This window comes from Homo sapiens, chromosome X (assembly GCF_000001405.40).
Source record: "Homo sapiens chromosome X, GRCh38.p14 Primary Assembly".
Lineage (NCBI taxonomy): Eukaryota > Metazoa > Chordata > Mammalia > Primates > Hominidae > Homo > Homo sapiens.
This window is the reverse complement of record NC_000023.11, coordinates 155,193,758-155,210,641: the sequence shown is the minus strand read 5'-3', so window position 1 is coordinate 155,210,641 and position 16,884 is coordinate 155,193,758. Positions and strand designations below refer to the sequence as shown.

Sequence of the window (16,884 nt, the reverse complement as noted above, 5' to 3'; positions counted from 1 at the left end):
TGAGATTTTACCTAGGGACCTGGCTCTGGATTAGATGAGAGTCATGACTAGATCTGTAGCAGTCCCTAAAGGGGCCAAACAACTGAAGAACACCTGGTATGAAGTAAGGCTTGTACTGTGGCTACTGAGGGCACTCAGAGGGCCCAGAACTGCGCCTGTATGACACATGGCATATGTGCTTTTTTTTAGAGACAGGGTCTCTCTCTGTCACCCAGGCTGGAGTGCAATGGTGCAATCATAGCTCACTGCAGCCTCAAACTCCTGGGCTCAAGCAGTCCTCTTGCCTCAGCCTCCCGAGTGGCTAGGAGTATGGGTGCATGCCACTATATCCAGCTAATTTCTTTATTTTGTAATTTTGTAGAGATGGGGCCTCGCAATGTTGCCCAGGCTGGTCCAAACTCCTGGCTTCAAGTCATCCTCCTGCCACCTCAACCTCCCAAAGTGCTGGGATTACAAGCTTGGGCCACTGCACCGGGCTGACACACGTGCTTTTAGGAACTTGTTAGGGAAGGGGTGTGGTTGGAAGACTAGAGTGGGTTAGGTGAATTATTAACCATTAAAATAAGAAAAATAGAGTACATAACCTCCAAACGTCAAATTAAAGAATTTCAAGAGTATTGAATGTCTTCCAAGTAAACGTTTATTTTACTTGGAAGATGTGGAGGATTCAGTTCAGCCTGTTGAAAGATCTTTTTATTCACTTCTGAATCTGAATCTTTTTGCTTTGGGACCTCTACTTGGACTGCGTCTGAATGAGAGACAGATCTGTAAATATTTAATCATTTATACATATTTTTATTTGTAGTTATGAAATAAATTACAAATATTTTAATACAAAACTCTCGTCATTTTTCTCATTATCTAACACCTGAAGCTTTGTCACTCCTCCTAAAACAAATGTTCAGGTATCAGGGGGCTCAGCACATCAGCTGAAGACTGAAAGAAGAAACCTTGTAAAGTCTTCTAGAAAACAATACTCTGAGACAATGGACACCTGGATCATGACACTCTCCCATACACTTCAGCTATACTCACTCATATTACCACTGCCTACTTCCACTTCTTTGTTCAACCTATTCTTTCTGCCTGTAATGCCAAACTTCTTCTATCCGCTATACATCTACTATTTGAAATCTTCTTTATCATTCAGTACTTGAAAGCTTCCTTTGCTAAATTAATTATTCCGTTCTTTGAGTTCCCATGGTGCTTTGTGCTTCCCTCTCTGTGTCTGTGTTTATCTGGAGCACGCTTTCTCACTCTGTTAACTCTCTGTCTATTTTTAAATCTTATCATTAAACTTAAGTATCAGTTCTCTGGTAAGTCATCCTTGAAATCTCCAGACTGAGTTAGCCACTTCTCCAATACTAATCACAGTTGGGTTTGTTGACTGAATAAACAAATAAATGAATAAAAGGATGGCTGAATAAATATAAGAAGCCAGTTGAGGCTTAACAACACAAGTTTATAGAGGTCTGCACCAGGTCTGCACAGTTCTGTGTCTTTCTATGATGATGAAAATGTTAGAACTATGCTTTCTTCTATGAGAGACCAACAGTATACAAAAGATGGCTATGTTGCAAAACTCCATTATAACACTGATCCTGCCTCCAGTGACTGCCTATCTCTGCCAAGGCCCTTAGCAACAACAGCCCAAACGTACCTGATGCTCTGGGGATGGAGTGGAAGGACTACTGGTCCTTAGGCCTTGCTGGGTATGAATCATGGGTTGAGGTGCCATTAGAGAAGGAGCTCCCAATGGAGTTGGAACCTATGAATTGTAAAAGAAAACAATCAGTTAAAAATTAATTAGTATTTAATTGCTCTCCTAATACAATAGTACCATGAGAACAAGTAGCCCCCTAGAGTAAATATTATATTAATATTTAATAAGCATCAATTGAAAGGAATGCTAAATGCCAGATGCAAAGAAAAAGACGAAAATGTATCTGTGAAGGGGCTGCTAGTGATAAAGTGTGACAGACCAAAGAGTGTGGAAAACCTAAAGAATAGTTATTGAAAAGCAGGGATGAATTAGCCACAAAGTAAGGCCTACAAATGACTCTTTTCAAGACAGAACTCCAACATCTCAAGGCCAATAATACTCATAGGAAAAAGAAAGGAAGTTTGTAGGTGGACATGGAACATGTTAAATGTATACTGGTATGTATGTATCTTTCATGAAATACTTTAGTATGAACATATGATTTGATATGGCGATCTACAGGTTAAATGTGAAGGATGTATAGAAATTTGCCAGATGAAAGTAGTGAAGGAAGCGCAAGCACATCAGGTCAAGGACGTAGGTGGAACTAGAAAGGCTTTGACATCTCTTTAGTTTGTTTTACTCTTCTAGTTACTTTATGAGCTCAGATTTTAAATTATATTCAAAAGATGAAAGAATAGCAATTAATGAAGAACAAACTAAGGAGGTTGCACAGACCCATTAATATAAGACTGTGACCATCTCCCTCCACTGTTTAAAACCATTAAATGGACCCTCATTGACTGTAGATAGTGTGTAAACTCCTTGGCATGGCTTACCAAGCCTACTGCTTCCTCCTCTTGATCTTTTCCCTCACTTCTCCCTCACTGATTGAGGAAATATGGGCTTACTTAAGAACAACTGGGTAAATTAGAAACTGTTCAAATGACTCATAACCAAAGGCTAAGGGTTAATATGTTGACCTGCTGAGAGGTTTCTGGTGATACACTACAGGGTTATGTTCTTGATCTTCTTGTTCATCTTCATCTATCAATGAAAATGTTGTAGAGGACATGTTCACTGAGCATGTGAATAACATACACATTGGAAAGGATAATGAATATATTAAATATAATCAGAAACATTAATTTTCTCGACAGACTAGAGATAGGGTCCCAACTGAATAAGAGGAAGGTTAACAGAGTCTAGCACTTGGATCTTAAAAAAATACCCACATATATATAGAATGGATGAGAAGTGAAAATGAAGTTAAAAGAATTTTAGTTGATAGTAACATTTAAGTTTTCCAGTCCTTCCTCCTGTCTCAGCCCCATGCCAGCAATTTGGAAGCAGTTCCTAGCTATCTTCAGTGTGCAGGGATGCCACTTCTGCAGTATCAAACAAAGGGCCTAAGTGAGCAAGGTACCAAGACCTCTTGCCTTACAAACCAGTGCTGCCTAGAAATCCTTGAAATTGCTCTTGCCTGAGGATGAAGATCTTGGTCTACTTCTGTGATGCTATCAGATAGTACACCCTGGAATAGCCCCATGTGGTGACTAGACTGAGCACCTAGTCCTTTTAGGAAACCTAGGTGAATATACCTCCTTCAGTCCACCTGGGTCCATAGTTATTCATGCCTGAGGAGTGGGATTCTCATTCTGTAGTCAAGTCAATGCTAGGATCTACTTTTTACCCGATTCCTGTCAGCTTCTCTCCCTGGGAAATGGGCCCTGTTCTGTTCACCATTGTTTGGAAAGAATCTGAAATAGCCTGGCTTTTTACGTAGCCCTTCATAGTTTTTTCTGCAACCCATACTTTTGCCTCAAGCCCTGTTATACTAATAAATGGACTTTGGTTACTGATGCCTAACCTGGAATCTACCACACTCCTTTGGTACTTGGACCCTGACCTGTGGAGTATCTCAGTTCTACTCCTTCTACCTTAAATTCTTACTAAGTCTATTTTTTCTGGGCTTGGGTTCACTCATAGTTCTAACATGCATGCACACCTAGTATCATATTATACTCGAATCCTCTTCTGGAAACTAACTGGCACATACAGTATATTATTATAGAGGATGTATAGAGAAGTCCACAAACAGGACTCAAAAGAGATATGAGGTAGGAGGAAAACTAAGAGAAAATGGTGTTTCTAACTCTAGGAAGGGAGAGTGTTTCCTCCTCTCTCACTGGCCACTCCTTTTCCACCTCTTTTGCAGGTTCCTTCTCATTTCCTTGCCCCAGTGACAGACGACCCTTGGGCTCATTCTCCACTCACCCCTAGTTGATTTCATCCATTCTTTCTCTCAGCACACTCTTACTTCAAGGTGTTTGCACTGATTATTCCCTCTCCTGGAATGCTCTTCCACTTGACTTGCTCCTTCTACTCTTTAAAATTTCTACTCAAGGCCAGGCACAGTGGCTTACACCTGTAATCCCAGCACTTTGGGAGGCCGAGGCAGGCAGATCACGAGGTCAGGAGATTGAGACCATCCTGGCTAACACGGTGAAACCCCATCTCTACTAAAAATATTAAAAAATTAGCCAGGCGTGGTGGCAGGTGCCTGTAGTCCCAGCTACTCGGGAGGCTGAGGTAGGAGAATGGCGTGAACCCAAGGGGCGGAGCTTGCAGTGAGTCGAGATTGTGCCACTGCACTCCAGCCTGGGCAACAGAGCAAGACTCTGTCTCAAAAAAAAAAAAATTCTACTCAAGACTGAGTCACCTTTTCAATAGAGTTCCCACTGACCAGCCTATTTAAAATGGAAACCTACTCCAATACTCTTAATTCTTCTTCCCTGCTGCAAATTTCTCCATGGCACTTGTCACCTTATTTATTTCTTCCCTCCACTAGAATGTACATCCCACAGGGACATGGGTTTTTGTTTCTTTTAATTATTGCCATATTCCTAGAATTAGAATATGTGCTAGTTGAGTGATAAGACAGAAGGACTAAGTAAGACAAGGACAGAGAAGTAGCTATTAGATTCAGTCACATGAAAGTCATTAGAGACCTTTACGTTAGCAGTTTAGTGGAACAGTGGGGATAGAAGTCACATTAAAGTGAGTTGAAAAGTGAACCGGGGAGACAACCTCAATGTCCTTTAATACAAACATGGGTTGTTCCTGCCTTACTTCAAGAATATATACCGAGTAGCCCTGTGCCTAGAAAGAACTAAGCAAGGCAGGAGTGTCAGGAGATGGAAGCAGAGAGGAAGCATGGAGGATCTTGGCTTTTGCTCTGGGAGAAGTGGGGGCAATTGCAATGAAGTTGCTTGATTTGACTTAAACTGTAAGCCAATCACTCTGGCTGCAGTGTGAAGAACACTGTAGGGAGCAAGGGCAGAAGCAGGGAGCCCAGGTAGGAGGCTACTGCAGTGACCCAGGTGAAAGAAAATGGATTAGGAAAAAGTTAGGATGCATTCTGAAAATAAAGGCCATTGCATTTGCTCATGAATTGTATGTGGAGTGAAAGAAAGATGTATTAAGGAGGACTGCAAGGCTTTTGGCCTGAGCAACTGGAAGGATGGAGATGTCATCAGCTGTGATTGGGAAGGCTGCAAGTAGAACAGCTTTGGGGAGATCAAGGGTACAGTTTTGGACACGTGCAATTTGAGATGTATCAGAAACATGAATATTTGTTATCCTCTGTATGTTCCTGTATATTTACCATTTTCTGGAATGGACCAACAGCAAAAACAACATGAGCTAATTGGTGTGTGGCTGGAGCAACTAAATGACTTCAGAGTTTCCATTACCTGTATTGTATTGCATAAAATTTATGCAGTGCACTGAAGCTACAAATAGAACTAGTGATTACAAACAATTTTTAACTAAGAAAAATTTTAAATCATGAAAATTTGCCAAATAAGCAGAATATAAACAATAAACTAAAAATGAGTTAAAAGAAAGTTGGAATCAGAAAAATTCCAGATATTCTATCTGTATTAACAATGTCTCCCATTAGAAGCTTTATATGATAACAGCAAAATCAGTTCAACTTTTTAAACCTGATTAATATAGACTAGAAGTGATCCCAAACAGCAAAATGGCAAATAAAACAAAACAAAATGAGACAACAATAAAATCCTTCAGAAGGGGAGAAAAACCAGCAGCAAACAGTAGTTCATAACTCTTAGAATAAACCAAGAATGTAACCTAAACTAAACCATATTAATACTTGAATCTCTATTATGTGCATGTTGATAATTCCTATTTTGGATTATCTATTAATTCTGAAGCAGCTTTCTCTTGACTATTCCACTTCTGTGCATCTCTTTTCATCCCCATTTCCAGGGTTCCTTTCTTTATTACTGTTAGCCATCTCACAAGGCATGTGCTATATTATTTTTCAGAGAGCTGCCATTTTTTCCAATGCAAGAAAAGAATGTGGATGGATTACCTTCCATTTAAAAATATCTGTATAATTTTTTTCTGTTCGTAGTTGTAACCATATATCCAACTCTTGATATCTTAAAAGAGGCTTTTCTGGCCGGGTGTGGTGCCTCACACCTGTAATTCTAGCACTTTCGGAGGCCAAGGCGGGCGGATCACCTGAGGTCAGGAGTTCAAGACCAGCCTGGCCAACATGGCGAAACCCCATCTCTACTAAAAATAAAAAAATTAGCCTGGCGTGGTGTCAAACGCCTGTAACCCCAGCTACCTGGGAGGCTGAGGCAAGAGAATCGCTTGAACCCGGGGGGCAGAGGTTGCAGTGAACCGACATCGTGCCACTTCACTCCAGCCTGGGTGACAGAGTGAAACTCCATCTCAAAAAAAAAATGTTTTCAAAACCCTTCTTTATGGTTCTCTAGCAAACAGCTGCACGAGATAAAGTGAACAATCATACAGTATAGATGTTCTGTGCAGAGCCTAAATAAAACAAGCTACAAAATCGATGAATTCCTTCACAAACCATTTCTAACACATAATGCATAATCCATGTGTTACACCACAAGGTCCGATAGCTGTGCAAATCATTAGAATTTGATCTTGATCCCAGGGTGTTTCCAATCTTGTGATATAGTCTTTCCACCGTATTACTCAAACTATCTTTGTGTTATATACTTTGTATACTATGTCCTCTTTGACTACTCATGCAAGGTATAGCATGATAAATTGGAGAAATTTAACAGCAATTGGGTGTAATTGATTCCAAGCATTCTTTTTTTTATTTTATTATTATTATACTTTAAGTTTTAGGGTACATGTGCACAATGTGCAGGTTAGTTACATATGTATACATGTGCCACGCTGGTGTGCTGCACCCATTAACTCGTCATTTAGCATTAGGTATATCTCCTAATGGTATCCCTCCCCCCGCCCCCACCCCACAACAGTCCCCAGAGTGTGAGGTTCCCCTTCCTGTGTCCATGTGTTTTCATTGTTCAATTCCCACCTATGAGTGAGAACATGCGGTGTTTGGTTTTTTGTCCTTGCGATACTTTACTGAGAATGATGATTTCCAATTTCATCCATGTCCCTACAAAGGACATGAACTCATCATTTTTTATGGCTGCATAGTATTCCATGGTGTATATGTGCCACATTTTCTTAATCCAGTCTATCATTGTTGGACATCTGGGTTGGTTCCAAGTCTTCGCTATTGTGAATAGTGCCACAATAAACATACGTGTACATGTGTCTTTATAGCAGCATGACTTATAGTCCTTTGGGTATATACCCAGTAATGGGATGGCTGGGTCAAATGGTATTTCTAGTTCTAGATCCCTGAGGAATCGCCACACTGACTTCCACAATGGTTGAACTAGTTTACAGTCCCACCAACAGTGTAAAAATGTTCCTATTTCTCCACATCCTCTCCAGCACCAGTTGTTTCCTGACTTTTTAATGATCGCCATTCTAACTGGTGTGAGACGGTATCTCATTGTGGTTTTGATTTGCATTTCTCTGATGGCTAGTGATGGTGAGCATTTTTTTCATGTGTCTGTTGGCTGCATAAATGTCTTCTTTTGAGAAGTGTCTGTTCATGTCCTTCGCCCACTTTTTGATGGGGTTGTTTGATTTTTTATTGTAAATTTGTTTGAGTTCATTGTAGATTCTGGATATTAGCCCTTTGTCAGATGAGTAGGTTGTGAGAATTTTCTCCCATTTTGTAGGTTGCCTGTTCACTCTGATGGTAGTTTCTTTTGCTGTGCAGAAGCTCTTTAGTTTAATTAGATCCCATTTGTCAATTTTGGCTTTTGTTGCCATTGCTTTTGGTGTTTTAGACATGAAGTCCTTGCCCATGCCTATGTCCTGAATGGTAATGCCTAGGTTTTCTTCTAGGGTTTTTATGGTTTTAGGTCTAACGTTTAAGTCTTTACTCCATCTTGAATTAATTTTTGTATAAGGTGTAAGGAAGGGATCCAGTTTCAGCTTTCTACATATGGCTAGCCAGTTTTCCCGGCACCATTTATTAAATAGGTAATCCTTTCCCCACTGCTTGTTTTTCTCAGGTTTGTCAAAGATCAGATAGTTGTAGATATGCGGCGTTATTTCTGAGAGCTCTGTTCCATTCCATTGATCTATATCTCTGTTTTGGTACCAGTACCATGCTGTTTTGGTTACTGTAGCCTTGTAGTATAGTTTGAAGTCAGGTAGCATGATGCCTCCAGCTTTGTTCTTTTGGCTTAGGATTGACTTGGCAATGCGGGCTCTTTTTTGGTTCCATATGAACTTTAAAATTTTTTCCAATTCTGTGAAGAAAGTCATTGGTAGCTTGATGGGGATGGCATTGAATCTATAAATTACCTTGGGCAGTATGGCCATTTTCACAATACTGATTCTTCCTACCCATGAGCATGGAATGTTCTTCCATTTCTTTGTATCCTCTTTTATTTCATTGAGCAGTGGTTTGTAGTTCTCCTTGAAGAGGTCCTTCACGTCCCTTGTAAGTTGGATTCCTAGGTATTTTATTCTCTTTGAAGGAATTGTGAATGGGAGTTCACTCATGATTTGGCTCTCTGTTTGTCTGTTATTGGTGTATAAGAATGCTTGTGATTTTTGCACATTGATTTTGTATCCTGAGACTTTGCTGAAGTTACTTATTAGCTTAAGGAGATTTTGGGCTGAGACAATGGGGTTTTCTAGATACACAATCATGTCATCTGCAAACAGGGACAATTTGACTTCCTCTTTTCCTAATTGAATAGCCTTTATTTCCTTCTCCTGCTTAATTGCCCTGGCCAGAACTTCCAACACTATGTTGAATAGGAGTGGTGAGAGAGGGCATCCCTGTCTTGTGCCAGTTTTCAAAGGGAATGCTTCCAGTTTTTGCCCATTCAGTATGATATTGGCTGTGGGTTTGTCATAGATAGCTCTTATTATTTTGAGATACGTCCCATCAATACCTAATTTATTGAGAGTTTTTAGCATGAAGGGTTGTTGAATTTGTCAAAGGTCTTTTCTGCATCTATTGAGATAATCATGTGGTTTTTGTCTTTGGTTCTGTTTATATGCTGGATTACATTTATTGATTTGTGTATATTGAACCAGCCTTGCATCCCAGGGATGAAGCCCACTTGATCATGGTGGATAAGCTTTTTGATGTGCTGCTGGATTCGGTTTGCCAGTATTTTATTGAGGATTTTTGCATCAATGTTCATCAAGGATATTGGTCTAAAATTCTCTTTTTTTGTTGTGTCTCTGCCCGGCTTTGGTATCAGGATGATGCTGGTCTCATAAAATGAGTTAGGGAGGATTCCTTCTTTTTCTATTGATTGGAATAGTTTCAGAAGGAATGGTACCAGTTCCTCCTTGTACCTCTGGTAGAATTCGGCTGTGAATCCATCTGGTCCTGGACTCTTTTTGGTTGGTAAGCTATTGATTATTGCCACAATTTCAGGGCCTGTTATTGGTCTATTCAGAGATTCAACTTCTTCCTGCTTTAGTCTTGGGAGGGTGTATGTGTCGAGGAATTTATCCATTTCTTCTAGATTTTCTAGTTTATTTGCGCAGAGGTGTTTGTAGTGTTCTCTGATGGTAGTTTGTATTTCTGTGGGATCGGTGGTGATATCCCCTTTATCATTTTTTATTGCATCTATTTGATTCTTCTCTCTTTTCTTCTTTATTAGTCTTGCTAGCGGTCTATCAATTTTGTTGATCCTTTCAAAAAACCATCTCCTGGATTCATTAACTTTTTGAAGGGTTTTTTGTGTCTCTATTTCCTTCAGTTCTGCTCTGATTTTAGTTATTTCTTGCCTTCTGCTAGCTTTTGAATGTGTTTGCTCTTGCTTTTCTAGTTCTTTTAATTGTGATGTTAGGGTGTCAATTTTGGATCTTTCCTGCTTTCTCTTGTGGGCATTTAGTGCTATAAATTTCCCTCTACACACTGCTTTGAATGTGTCCCAGAGATTCTGGTATGTTGTGTCTTTGTTCTCGTTGGTTTTAAAGAACATCTTTATTTCTGCCTTCATTTCGTTATGTACCCAGTAGTCATTCAGGACCAGGTTGTTCAGTTTCCATGTAGTCGAGCGGTTTTGAGTGAGTTTCTTAATCCTGAGTTCTAGTTTGACTGCACTGTGGTCTGAGAGACAGTTTGTTATAATTTCTGTTGTTTTACATTTGCTGAGGAGAGCTTTACTTCCAACTATGTGGTCAATTTTGGAATAGGTGTGGTGTGGTGCTGAAAAAAATGTATATTCTGTTGATTTGGGGTGGAGAGTTCTGTAGATGTCTATTAGGTCCGCTTGGTGCAGAGCTGAGTTCAATTCCTGAGTATCCTTGTTAACTTTCTGTCTCGTTGATCTGCCTAATGTTGACAGTGGGGTGTTAAAGTCTCCCATTATTATTGTTTGGGAGTCTAAGTCTCTTTGTAGGTCACTCAGGACTTGCTTTATGAAACTGGGTGCTCCTGTATTGGGTGCATATATATTTAGGATAGTTAGCTCTTCTTGTTGAATTGATCCCTTTACCATTATGTAATGGCCTTCTTTGTCTCTTTTGATCTTTGTTGGTTTAAAGTCTGTTTTATCAGAGACTAGGATTGCAACCCCTGCCTTTTTTTGTTTTCCATTTGCTTGGTAGATCTTCCTCCATCCTTTTATTTTGAGCCTATGTGTGTCTCTGCACAAGAGATGGGTTTCCTGAATACAGCACACTGATGGGTCTTGACTCTTTATCCAATTTGCCAGTCTGTGTCTTTTAATTGGAGCATTTAGCCCATTTACATTTAAGGTTGATACTGTTATGTGTGAATTTGATCCTGTCATTATGATGTTAGCTGGTTATTTTGCTCGTTAGTTGATGCAGTTACTTCCTAGCCTCAATGGTCTTTACAATTTGGCATGTTTTTGCAGTGGCTGGTACTGGTTGTTCCTTTCCATGTTTAGTGCTTCCTTCAGGAGCTCTTTTAGGGCAGGCCTGGTGGTGACAAAATCTCTCAGCATTTGCTTGTCTGTAAAGGATTTTATTTCTCCTTCACTTATGAAGCTTAGTTGGACTGGATATGAAATTCTGGGTTGAAAATTCTTTTCTTTAAGAATGTTGAATATTGGCCCTCACTCTCTTCTGGCTTGTAGAGTTTCTGCCGAGAGATCCGCTGTTAGTCTGATGGGCTTCCCTTTGAGGGTAACCCGACCTTTCTCTCTGGCTGCCCTTAACATTTTTTCCTTCATTTCAACTTTGGTGAATCTGACAATTATGTGTCTTGGAGTTGCTCTTCTCGAGGAGTATCTTTGTGGCGTTCTCTTTATTTCCTGAATCTGAATGTTGGCCTGCCTTGCTAGATTGGGGAAGTTCTCCTGGATAATATCCTGCAGAGTGTTTTCCAACTTGGTTCCATTCTCCCCGTCACTTTCAGGTACACCAATCAGTTGTAGATTTGGTCTTTTCACATAGTCCCATATTTCTTGGAGGCCTTGTTCATTTCTTTTTATTCTTTTTTCTCTAAACTTCCCTTCTCACTTCATTCATTCATTTCATCTTCCATCACTGATACCCTTTCTTCCAGTTGATCGCATCAGCTCCTGAGGCTTCTGCATTCTTCACGTAGTTCTCGAGACTTGGCTTTCAGCTCCATCAGCTCCTTTAAGCATGTCTGTGTATTGGTTATTTTAGTTATACATTCGTCTAAATTTTTTTCAAAGTTTTTAACTTCTTTGCCTTTGGTTTGAATTTCCTCCTGTAGCTCGGAGTAGTTTGATCATCTGAAGCCTTCTTCTCTCAACTCGTCAAAGTCATTCTCTGTCCAGCTTTGTTCCGTTGCTGGTGAGGAACTGCGTTCCTTTGGAGGAGGAGAGGTGCTCTGCTTTTTAGAGTTTCCAGTTTTTCTGCTCTGTTTTTTCCCCATCTTTGTGGTTTTATCTACTTTTGGTCTTTGATGATGGTGATGTACAGATGGGTTTTTGGTGTGGATGTCCTTTCTGTTTGTTAGTTTTCCTTCTAACAGACAGGACCCTCAGCTGCAGGTCTGTTGGAGTTTGCTAGAGGTCCACTCCAGACCCTGTTTGCCTGGTATCAGCAGCAGTGGCTGCAGAACAGCGGATTTTCATGAACTGCGAATGCTGCTGTCTGACATTCCTCTGGAAGTTTTGTCTCAGAGGAGTACCCCGCCGTGTGAGGTGTCAGTCTGCCCCTACTAGGGGTGCCTCCCAGTTAGGCTGCTCGGGGGTCAGGGATCAGGGACCCACTTGAGGAGGCAGTCTGCCTGTTCTCAGATCTCCAGTTGCGTGCTGGGAGAACCACTGCTCTCTTCAAAGCTGTCAGACAGGGACATTTAAGTCTGCAGAGGTTACTGCTGTCTTTTTGTGTGTCTGTGCCATGCCCCCAGAGGTGGAGCCTACAGAGGGAGGCAGGCCTCCTTGAGCTGTGGTGGGCTCCACCCAGTTCGAGCTTCCTGGCTGCTTTGTTTACCTAAGCAAGCCTGGGCAATGGCGGGCGCCCCTCCCCCAGCCTCGCTGCCACCTTGCAGTTTGATCTCAGACTGCTGTGCTAGCAATCAGCGAGATTCTGTGGGCATAGGACCCTCCAAGCCATGTGCAGGATATAATCTCCTGGTGCGCCGTTTTTTAAGCCCATCGGAAAAGCACAGTATTAGGGTGGGAGTGACCCGATTTTCCAGGTGCCGTCTGTCACCCCTTTCTTTGACTAGTAAAGGGAACTCCCTGACCCCTTGCACTTCCCAAGTGAGGCAATGCCTCGCCCTGCTTCGGCTTGCGCACAGTGCGCTGCACTCACTGTCCTGTGCCCACTGTCTGGCACTCCCTAGTGAGATGAACCCGGTACCTCAGATGGAAATGCAGAAATCACCCGTCTTCTGCGTCACTCACGCTCAGAGCTGTAGACTGGAGCTGTTCCTATTCGGCCATCTTGGCTGCCAGCTCTCAAAATTTTCTAATAAACTCAAATGAATGATTAAAAAAGAGCGTTTTTTCTTACCATTCTATACATAGGCATTTGCTGGGGAGTCACTGGAGGTAGAACCTTGACAAAAAGTAAATTTTCTACTAGTATTTAATAAGCAATATTAAAAGATACAGAACATTTTCTGCTATATGTTTAACATTGAGAACAAATTCATAGTGAACTTTTTATAGCCAAGACAGTGATCTTTCCTTAAGCAATTATCTTTCCTTAAGAGGTTTAAAGACATCTAATTATTGCTGTGTTGTTTTAGAAGGCAGAGCAGAGTTCACAATAGCTCAAATTTCCTGAGGAACAGGAATTTGCTTGGAAAACATTGCACATCAGAGAGTAATGTGAACTTAGCTAAGAAAGAAAGAGTTGTGACTTTTCTGTACTGCATAAACAAAACAATAACAATAGACAAATTAAATAAAAATTTCAACCATAATCACATTACCTCCAACAAATAAAACTTTCTCAGTTTTTCAGTTTTCACTTCCAGTCTTCGTTTATGATGTCTTTTAGATGTATACAATAATGTGAAAAATGATAAGTTGGCTTTCAACACAGCAGATGAAAAGCTGAGTAATACCAGTCATAACTTTAATCCCTGTCTTTGTTTCTTTGTCCATTACTAGGTGATATAACATGAGACACAGTTATATCACCTGACCTCAGGTGATCTACCCACCTCGGCCTCCCAAAGTGCTGGAATTACAGGTGTGAGCCACCACGCTCAGCCCAGACTGCCTCTTTAGGCTGGACCCTAACCCAACCCTCCTCATTGGGTGGGGCCTTGCTGCAGGAATTTCAGCAACTCCAGCCAGGGGTTTATGGACAGAACTCTGATCTCCCTGGAACAGAGCCCCTGGGGGGAGGGGCAGCCACAGTCTCCATGGATCAGCCGACTTAGTCTTTCTCCCTGCTGGCTCTGAGGAATCCAGGCAGTGTGGACGAGTAAGATTTCTCCCCAGCACAGTGCACCCCTTCCACCAAGGGGCAGCCAGAGTGCTTCCTTAAGTGGGTCCTTGATCCCATGCCTCCTGACTGGGTGAGAGCCCCCCAATAGGGGTCGCCAGACACTTTATACAAGAGCATTCCCACTGGCATCAGGTTGGTGCCCCTCTGGGACAGAGCTCCCAGAGGAAGGGGCAGGAAGCCATCTTTGCTGTTCTGCAGCCTCCATTGGTGATACCTCCAGGTGCAGGAGGGACCCAGGTGACTAGGATCTGGAGTGGACCCCAAGCAAACTGCAGCAGCCCTATGGAAGAGTAGCCTGACTGTTAAAAGAAAAACAAACAGGAAGCAACAGCAACAACAGCATCAACAAAAAAGTCCCCATAAAAACCCCATCTAAAGGTCAGCAGCCTCAAAGATCAAAGCTAGGTAAACTCATTAAGATGAGAAAGAATCAACAAAAAAAATGCTGAAAGCTCAAAAAGCCAGAGTGCCTCTTCTCCTCCAAGTGATCATAACACCTCTCCAGCAAGGGCACAGAACTGGGTGGAGGCCAAGATGGATGGACTGACAGAAGTAGGCTTCAGAACGTGGGTAATGATGAACTTCACTGAGCTAAAGAACCATGTTCTAACCCAACGCAGAGAAGCTAAGAACCATGATAAATCATCACAGGAGCTGTTTACCAGAATAACCACTTTAGAGAGGAACAGAAATGACCCAATGTGTTGCGGGAAGTCAGGGACCCTGAATGGAGGGACCAGCTGGAGCTGCGGCAGAGGAACATAAATTGTGAAGATTTCATTTTAATATGGACATTTATCAGTTTCCAAATAATACTTTTATAATTTCTTATGCCTGTCTTTAATCTCTTAATCCTGTTATCTTCGTAAGCTGAGGATGTATGTCACCTCAGGACCACTGTGATAATTGTGTTAACTGTACAAATTGATTGTAAAACGTGTGTTTGAACAATATGAAAGCAGTGCACCTTGAAAAAGAACAGAATAACAGCGACTTTTAGGGAACAAGGGAAGACAACCATAAGGTCTGACTGCCTGCGGGGTCGGGCAAAAAGAGCCATATTTTTCTTCTTGCAGAGAGCCTATAAATGGACGTGCAAGTAGGAGAGATATCGCTAAATTATTTTCCTAGCAAGGAATATTAATATTAATACCCTGGGAAAGGAATGCGCTCCTGGGGAGAGGTCTATAAACGGCCACTCTGGGAATGTCTGTCTTGTGCAGTTGAGATAAGGACTGAGATATGCCCTGGATTCCTGCAGTACCCTCAGGCTTACTAGGGTTGGGAAACTCCACCCTGGTAGATTTGTGGTCAGACTGGTTCTCTGCTCTCAAACCCTGTTTTCTGTTGTTTAAGATGTTTATCAAGACAACATGTGCACCGCTGAAAATAGACCCTTATCAGTGGTTCTTGCTTTTGCCCTTTGCCTTGTGATCTTTGTTGGACCTTTATCAATAGTTCTGCTTTTGCCCTTTGCCTTGTGATCTTTGTTAGATCCTTATTAGTAGTTCTGCTTTTTGCCCTTTGAAGCATGTGATCTTTGTACCTACTCCCTGTTCTTACACCCCCTCCTCTTTTGAAACCCTTAATAAAAACTTGCTGGTTTGAGGCTCAGGTGGGCATCACAGTCCTACTGATATGTAATGTCACCCCCAGTGGCCCAGCCGTAAAATTCCTCTCTTTGTACGGTCTCTCTTTATTTCTCAGCCAGCCGACACGTATGGAAAATAGAAAGAACCTATGTTGAAATATTGGGGGCGGGTTCCCCCAATACTGATGGAGCTGAAAAACATAACATGAGAATTTCACAATGCAACCACAAGTACCAATAACCAAATAGACCAAGCAGAGGAAAGAATTTCAGAACTTGAAGACTATCTTGCTGAAATAAGACAGACAAGATTAGAGCAAAAAGAATGAAAGGAACAAACAAAAGCTCCGAGAACTATGGGATTATGTAAAAAGACCAAACCAACGAATAATTGGGGTACCTGAAACAGAGGGGAACAATGGAACAAAGTTGGAAAACATACTTCAGGATATCATCCAGCAGAACTACCCCAACCTAACAAGACAGGTCCAACATTCAAATTCAGGAAATCCAGAGAACTCCAGTAAAATACTCCATGAGAAGATGAACCCCAAGACACATAATCATCAGGTTCTCCAAGGTCAAAATGAAGGAAAAAATGTTAAGGACAGCCAGAGAGAAAGGCCAGGTCACCTACAAAGGGAAGCCCATCAGACTAACAGTGGACCTCTTTTCAGAAACCTTACAAGCCAGAAGAGATTGGGGGCCAATATTCAACATTCTTAAAGAAAAGCATTTCCAACCCAGAATTTCCTATCTGGCCAAACTAAACTTCATAAGTGAAGGAGAAATAAGATCCTTTTCAGACAAGCAAATACTGAGGAAATTTGTCACTACCAGGCCTGCCTTGCAAGAGCTCCTGAGGGAAGCACTAAATATGGAAAGAAAAAACTGTTATCAGCCACTACAAAAACATACTGAAGTACAAAGACCAATGACACTATGAAGCAACCACATAAAAAGTCTGTGAAATAACCAGCTAGCATCCTGATGACAGAATCAAATTCACACCTGAAAATATTAACCTTAAATGTAAATGGGCTAAATGCCCCAATTAAAAGACACAGAACGGCAAGCTGGATAAACAGTCAAGACCCAGTGGTGTGCTGTATTCAAGAGAACCATCTCATGTGCAAAGGCACATATAGGCTCAAAAGAAAGGGATGGAAGAAAATTTACCAAGCAGTGGAAAGCAGTAAAAAGCAGGGGTTGCAATTCTGGTTTTTTTTTTTTTTGTTTTTTTTTTTTTTTGAGATGGAGCCTTGCT

General features: G+C 41.4%; 1 protein-coding gene across 1 annotated transcript in view, besides 2 other annotated features; it reads right to left on the bottom strand.

The window, feature by feature from the left end:
* VBP1 (VHL binding protein 1) overlaps window positions 1–13,635 on the bottom strand; it is a 42,835-nt gene extending 29,200 nt beyond the window's left edge. Inside the window, exons 1-2 of the mRNA NM_001303544.1 lie at window positions 13,503–13,635; window positions 1,661–1,768 (exon numbers count right to left, since the gene is read on the bottom strand). Of these exons, the coding sequence (NP_001290473.1) occupies window positions 1,661–1,738 (78 nt within the window). The 5' untranslated portion in view covers window positions 1,739–1,768; window positions 13,503–13,635. The remainder of the gene's footprint in view (window positions 1–1,660; window positions 1,769–13,502) is intronic.
* Window positions 12,087–12,586: an enhancer, noted in NCBI's record as "H3K4me1 hESC enhancer chrX:154426333-154426832 (GRCh37/hg19 assembly coordinates)". NCBI's record gives its function as "activates a minimal SCP1, AML or CMV promoter by ChIP-STARR-seq in naive H9 embryonic stem cells {active_cell/tissue: H9 hESC(naive)}" and the evidence as "EXISTENCE:reporter gene assay evidence [ECO:0000049][PMID:30033119]".
* Window positions 12,587–13,088: an enhancer, noted in NCBI's record as "H3K4me1 hESC enhancer chrX:154425831-154426332 (GRCh37/hg19 assembly coordinates)". NCBI's record gives its function as "activates a minimal SCP1, AML or CMV promoter by ChIP-STARR-seq in naive H9 embryonic stem cells {active_cell/tissue: H9 hESC(naive)}" and the evidence as "EXISTENCE:reporter gene assay evidence [ECO:0000049][PMID:30033119]".